The sequence below is a fragment of the Homo sapiens genome, chromosome 10 (genome assembly GCF_000001405.40).
Source record: "Homo sapiens chromosome 10, GRCh38.p14 Primary Assembly".
In the NCBI taxonomy this organism is placed as follows: Eukaryota; Metazoa; Chordata; class Mammalia; order Primates; family Hominidae; genus Homo; species Homo sapiens.
The window spans coordinates 59,135,531-59,141,925 of record NC_000010.11 but is presented as its reverse complement, the minus strand read 5'-3'; the positions used below and the strand labels follow the sequence as shown (position 1 = coordinate 59,141,925).

The window sequence follows — 6,395 nt, the reverse complement described above, 5'->3', positions numbered from 1 at the left end:
TTTTCGTCACTTATTTGAAAATGTCTTTATTTTATCTTCACTTTTGAAGGATATTTTTACTTGATGTAGAATTCTCGGTTGATGGATTTTTTCTTTAGCACTTAAATGATTTTATTCCACGGTCTTCTGGCCTCCATTGTTTCTGAAGAGAATCGAGCAGTCATTTGAATTATTGTTTCCTTGTGTTTATAGGTCATTTTCCTCTGGCTGCCTTCAGTGTTTGCTGGATTTCTCTTTTGTTAAATAATGCCCCCTCCTTTCTCTCAAAAACACACTTAAATTTCAGTGGCTGTGGTTGTACTATACATTGACCTCTGTTTCTTCATGTGAGAGAGACTGTGGGTTTTCTATTGGAGTTTTAGTCGCTCCATGCAGTGCCTACTGTAGCTCAACCTCAGTCTAAAAGCCTTTCTTCACCTCGTTAATTCTCACTCATCGATCAAGACTCAGCTGATTAATCTGAGTCTCTAGATTCAACTAGATGTGTCCAAGTGTTGGGAATGCATTTGGTTGCATTTAACAGAAAATACTACTACAGTGATTTGAGCAAAACTGGGTTTGTTTTTCTCACCTAATATAAAATTCAGGGGTAGACAATTCAAAACTGATATAGCTGCTCAGACAGGTCATTAAGAACGTATTTTTTTCTATCTGCTCTGCTATTTGAATAAACCTTTTATTTTTATAGTTTCAAGTTGAAACATATATTCTTGGGCATTACATTCACTTCCCAGGTAGGCAGAATAGGCAAGGAAAATTAGTAGGATGATCAAGTCATCCTAGTTTGCCTGAGACTTCTTCATTTTTAAACTTAAAATCCCAAGTTCCATTAGTTGAACTAAAAAAAAAAAAATCACATGGCCTGTCACCCATGATTTGTGTTTTTCATGCCTATAAAATATTCTGTACGATTGCAAAATAAAAATTCAAGTGTATTCGTCCTTTTGAAGAGATGGGATATGACCAAGCTGCAGTCACAGCTCACATTAACAATGTTGAATTATTATTAACTACGGCTAGATTCCTTGAATCATGGCATTTAGTCTCGTTGATTATCTCCAGAGAATGCTATTTCAAAATTTACTTAGATAACTTTATCTTAGGATCTTTCCAGACAAATAGCTTACTTAAATATTGATATCACTCTTGGTTATTTTATCTAGTTTTTAAAGTAATAGTTCAATATTTATGTTATAAAACAAAATGCATATAATAAAAAGGCAAAATCAAAATACATATTGCTGTAATGTTTTCAAATGTAAGTGCAAACAGTAAAATAAGGCCAAATAAGCTCAAAGAGATCTCAATGTTCTAATGAGAGATCTCAATTAATAAAACAATAAGTTAAAACATGGATATACTGAAGTTAAAACAGAATCATTTATATCTATGTTAAACACACTAGAATAAAATTTAAATATTGATGTTATAGAGAGTAAATATATGTCTTTTTGGTTGGTAGAGTTGCCTTAAACTGTTTCTGTTGTCAAAGGAGTTTAGGATATGCAACAAATCATCAATATTAGTAACAAATTCCAAGGAAATTGAAATTTATTTCTAGCCTGTCCATTAATTGCTTCCTTCAAGGCATAAAATAGCATTTCATAGCCTTAGGAGCAGAATATAGATATTTCCATGGTAAACATAAGACCGTATAATCTGACTAATAATTATGTAAGGTGTTTCTTATATAACCTGATATTATGTAAGCACAGTTAGGGATGTGTAGCATCTGTCTAGTGTTGTAAAAACACAAAACAAACATAACAGCCACTAGCATTTTCTTTTCCCTTGCTTCATTTTTCCCTTCTAATTTTTCCATAAACCAGTGACCACAAAGAGTGAATACTAATAAAGGATCCCTTACCTTTTAATGAAAGCACTTTCATACATCTTCTCTTATGCCTAAGAATTATTTGACAAAAATGCCTCTCAGCTGTGTTTCAGCAGTGTAAAATGTGTTTTTTTTCCTACAAATGAAACTGAGCAATTCGTTTTAATACAAATGGTCCTGTAGGCAAAAAATGAATTATATTTTTAGAAGTATTCCCTGACCCCAAGACTCTGAAGGAGCTACTCTTCTGACTTCAGTTGCCAAATTAAACTAAGTAGAAAGGTAATTGTCTTCCCTGAAGGGCTTGGCAATAAAAACTGCTAGAAAGCTTTGTTTATGGATATGGAGATATTCGAGTAGAATGTGGTTCTTCTCCATACATTTTAATAAATTATTAATAGAAGAGGAATGAGAGTTCCCAGTTATATAGCCTCATTGGTGACCCATATATCAAGTCCAGGCCATCCCTTTATCTTAACCCTATAGTCACAGCCTAGTCCAGGACCTAGAGAACATTCTTTTTCCTTAGCTTGTTTATTTTGTTTGGAATTTAGTCCTTCATTGCCAAATACGTCTCCCTTCTTAGCCCATTATTTTTAATATAATGTATCTTCCCAGTTAGTGCTCTTAACCACCAAGCTATACTCTTCCCTCAAACTCCCAGTATTTTCAATTGTCTATCAATAATAAAGATAAATATTATTTAGGATGTGTTTTTCTAAATCTTTCTCATCTCCTAGTGTTTCAAAGAGCAGAAATACTGTGTAGCAATTATACTGGTACACTGCATGGTCAACTCTCAGCGGTCTAGCATGCAAAGAGGAGGTGATCGTTCTATCACATGGAGACAGTATAATGTTATGAAATCTCCTTTAGTGAATTATTCTTATTTGTTCAATTGTTATGTTTCATCAGAACTTCTATTATGTCCACTATCGTTAGAACTTATTTGAGTAGCTGCTCATGCAAACAAGACTTTATGTTCCATCCTTTTATATGTAAATTAAAAAATTATTCTTCAGCCAACCATATTATTCTATAATTAGCTTAGCAACACAAAGCAACCAGTTCTCATGTATCTGGACCAAGAAGCCACACACAGAAGTAATCATATCATATACTACACCTTCCCCTTGCAGGTTTACCTCTTGCCATGACTTCAAGTCAGTGCATAATTGTAAGTAAACTCTAGGTAATATCAAAGAAGGCATCTTCTGTCTGATAGTATATGAAAAGTGTAGAAATTAAAGAGGAGTAGAAATGAGTAAGGTGGGTAAATGGAAAATACTACAAAGTGCTGGAAACTTCAGTTTTACAAACATGTCTATAGATTCATATTTTCTTTCTAGAGAGGGATCCCGCAGGGACTTTGATTTAATTAATATAATGCCAAAGCTCAGCGAAGGAGTATAAATATTCAATAAATTCTTATGTAATACTATAATTGACTGAAGAATAATTTTTCATTTCCCATTAAAAAATGGTATTCGTGTGGACTGAAGAGTAGAATATACTATCAGACAGGTAGAGAAACAATACTGGATTTAGAGTCAAACAGGGCGATCAGAGTCTTATCCACTGGCTAGTGGTACAAGCTCAACTAAATCACTTCACCTGTCTTTTCTTCAGTTTTCTCATTTGCAGAGTGGAGACTGGAATCTTTCTCACAGGGTGTAATGCGAAAAAATGTTTTAGAGAAGGCGGAAGCAGTGGTGTCCGCAGCTGGGGCTTGGCCTGCGGGCGGCCCGCGGAGGTGGCGACGGCGCCCTTTGGTTGCAGAGTTTGACGTCCAAGCAGCCTCTGTGTCCGTCCTCTACCAGCGCCTTGGCTGAGCAGAGTCGTGCGCCTGCCCGCCTGGTTCGGCCGCCCGCCCCGTGCACTTGAGCGAGCAAGTGATAATCAAGTTACTATAAGTCTGCTAAACTGTGAAAACAGGTGTGGATCCAGCCAGTCTCAAAGTGACTACTGTGTGGCCATGGCCAGCTCCTGTAGCGCAGCAACAAAAAATGATAGTGTGGGCAGAACTGCCAGCACGGGGAACCTCTTCAGCTCCTTTATGGAGGAGATCCAGGGATATGATGTAGAGTTTGGCCCACCCCTGGAAAGCAAGTATGAATGCCCCATCTGCTTGATGGCATTACGAGAAGCAGTGCAAACGCCATGCAGCCATAGGTTCTGCAAAGCCTGCATCATAAAATCAATAAGGGATGCAGGTCACAAATATCCAGTTGACAATGAAATACTGCTGGAAAATTAACTATTTCCAGACAATTTTGCAAAACGTGAGATTATTTCTCTGATAGTGAAGTGTCCAAATGAAGGTTGTTTGCACAAGATGGAACTGAGACATCTTGAGGATCATCAAACACATTGTGAGTTTGCTCTTATGGATTGTCCCCAATGCCAGCCTCCCTTCCAAAAATTCCATATTAATATTTACATTATGAAGGGTTGTCCAAGGAGGCAGGTATCTTGTGACAACTGTGCTGCATCAATGGCATTTGAAGATAAAAAGATCCATGACCAGAACTGCCCTTTGGCAAATGTCATCTGTGAGTACTGCAATACTATACTCATCAGAGAACAGATGCCTAACTTTATGACCTAGACCGCCCTACAGCCCCAATTCCATGCACATTCCGTACTTTTCGTAGCCATGAAAAGATGCGGAGGAATCACTTGGCACGCCACCTACAAGAGAACACCCAATCAAACATGAGAATGTTGGCCCAGGCTGTTCATAGTTTGAGCCTTATACCCGACTCTGGGTATATCTCAGAGGTCCGGAATTTCCAGGAAAGTATTCACCAGTTAGAGGGTCGCCTTGTAAGACAATGTCATCAAATCCGGGAGCTGACTGATAAAATGGAAACTCAGAGTATGTATGTAAGTGAGCTCAAACGAACCATTCGAACCCTTGAGGACAAAGTTGCTGAAATTGAAGCACAGCAGTGCAATGGAATTTACATTTGGAAGATTGGGAATGAATTTGAAATGTTAAGAAGAGCAGAAACCTGTTGTGATTCATAGCCCTGGATTCTACACGGGTAAACACAGGTACAAACTGTGCATGCGCTTGCACCTTCCGTTACCGACTGCTCAGCGCTGTGCAAACTATATATCCCTTTTTGTCCACACAATGCAAGGAGAGTATGACAGCCACCTCCCTTGGCCCTTCCAGGATACAATATGCCTTACAATTCTTGATCAGTCTCAAGCACCTGTAAGGCAAAAACCACGAAGAGATAATGGATGCCAAACCAGAGCTGCTTGCTTTCCAGCGACCCACAATCCCACGGAACCCAAAAGGTTTTGGCTATGTAACTTTTATGCATCTGGAAGCCCTAAGACAAAGAACTTTCATTAAGGATGACACATTATTAGTGCACTGTGAGGTCTCCACCCGCTTTGACATGGATAGCCTTCAGAGGGAGGGTTTTCAGCCACAAAGTACTGATGCAGGGGTATAGCTTGCCCTCACTTGTTCAAAAACAACTACCTGGAGAAAACAGTGCCTTTCCTTGCCCTGTTCTCAATAACACGCAAACAAACAAAAATGCCACGGGAAAGATGTAGTATCTACTAGCCAGTTTTGGTTAGAGAGGTCACTTACTATTTCTTCCTCTTACAAATGATCTGAGGCAGTTTTTTCCCGGGAATCCACATGTTCCATGCTTTTTCAGAAATGTTAGGCCTGAAGTGCCTGTGGCATGTTGCAGCAGCTATTTTGTCAATTAGTATACCTCTTTGTTGTACTTCCTTGGGCTTTTGCTCTGGTGTATTTTATTGTCAGAAAGCCCAGACTCAGAGTACTAAACTTTTAATAATAATGAACTTTCCTTAAAACTTCAATCTATTTTTATAGCATTATATACAACATATTAAATGTGAAAATCACAAAAATGGGAGAAATTATGAAATGTAAATGGTACAAAAAGTAAAATGGTATTTTTAAGGTAGAATGTTTTTTAAAATGCTTAACATTTTATCTAATCAAAGAGTCTCTGCAGTCTTTATACTTAGAAGTTCAGTCATATAAAAAAGACATGTAGTCTCAAAATTCAAAGGAATCTTAAGATATCAGATTTTAATGTCCTCATTTTACGTTTGAGGAATTTTATGACTAGTGAAGCTAAGTACATTGTCCAAATTTATGAGCTATATTTGTGTTTGTGCTAGAGTTCCTTTTATCACATTAAAAAATCATTCTTTGTTAAAGTATTATATATTTTACTTCATTTCACTTTAATAAGTTATGGAAAAATATTTGTCAATACATTCTGCTACTCACACAATGGGGGGGTTTGGTCACTTGGTGAGTATAAGCCTAATGACACTGACCAAGGAGCATTTAGCAGGGAGATTTTATTACTTATAACAAGTAAGGAGAACATTGGGATAGTCCCTAAACCAGTGCCTCCCTGAACCAGGGGCTGGGTCAAGTCGTATAAGCATAGGGTAATGAGATGTGATCTGATTGAATTTTCAATGCAGTGATGCCAAGAGGCATGATCTGATTGGATCCTGCCATGGGGTGATGACACGACTGTATCTGATTGGC

The 6,395-nt window shown here is 37.7% G+C and overlaps 1 pseudogene; it reads left to right on the top strand.

Moving 5' to 3' along the window:
- Positions 1-3,543: 3,543 nt before the first annotated feature.
- Positions 3,544-5,499, top strand: TRAF6P1 (TNF receptor associated factor 6 pseudogene 1; annotated as a pseudogene).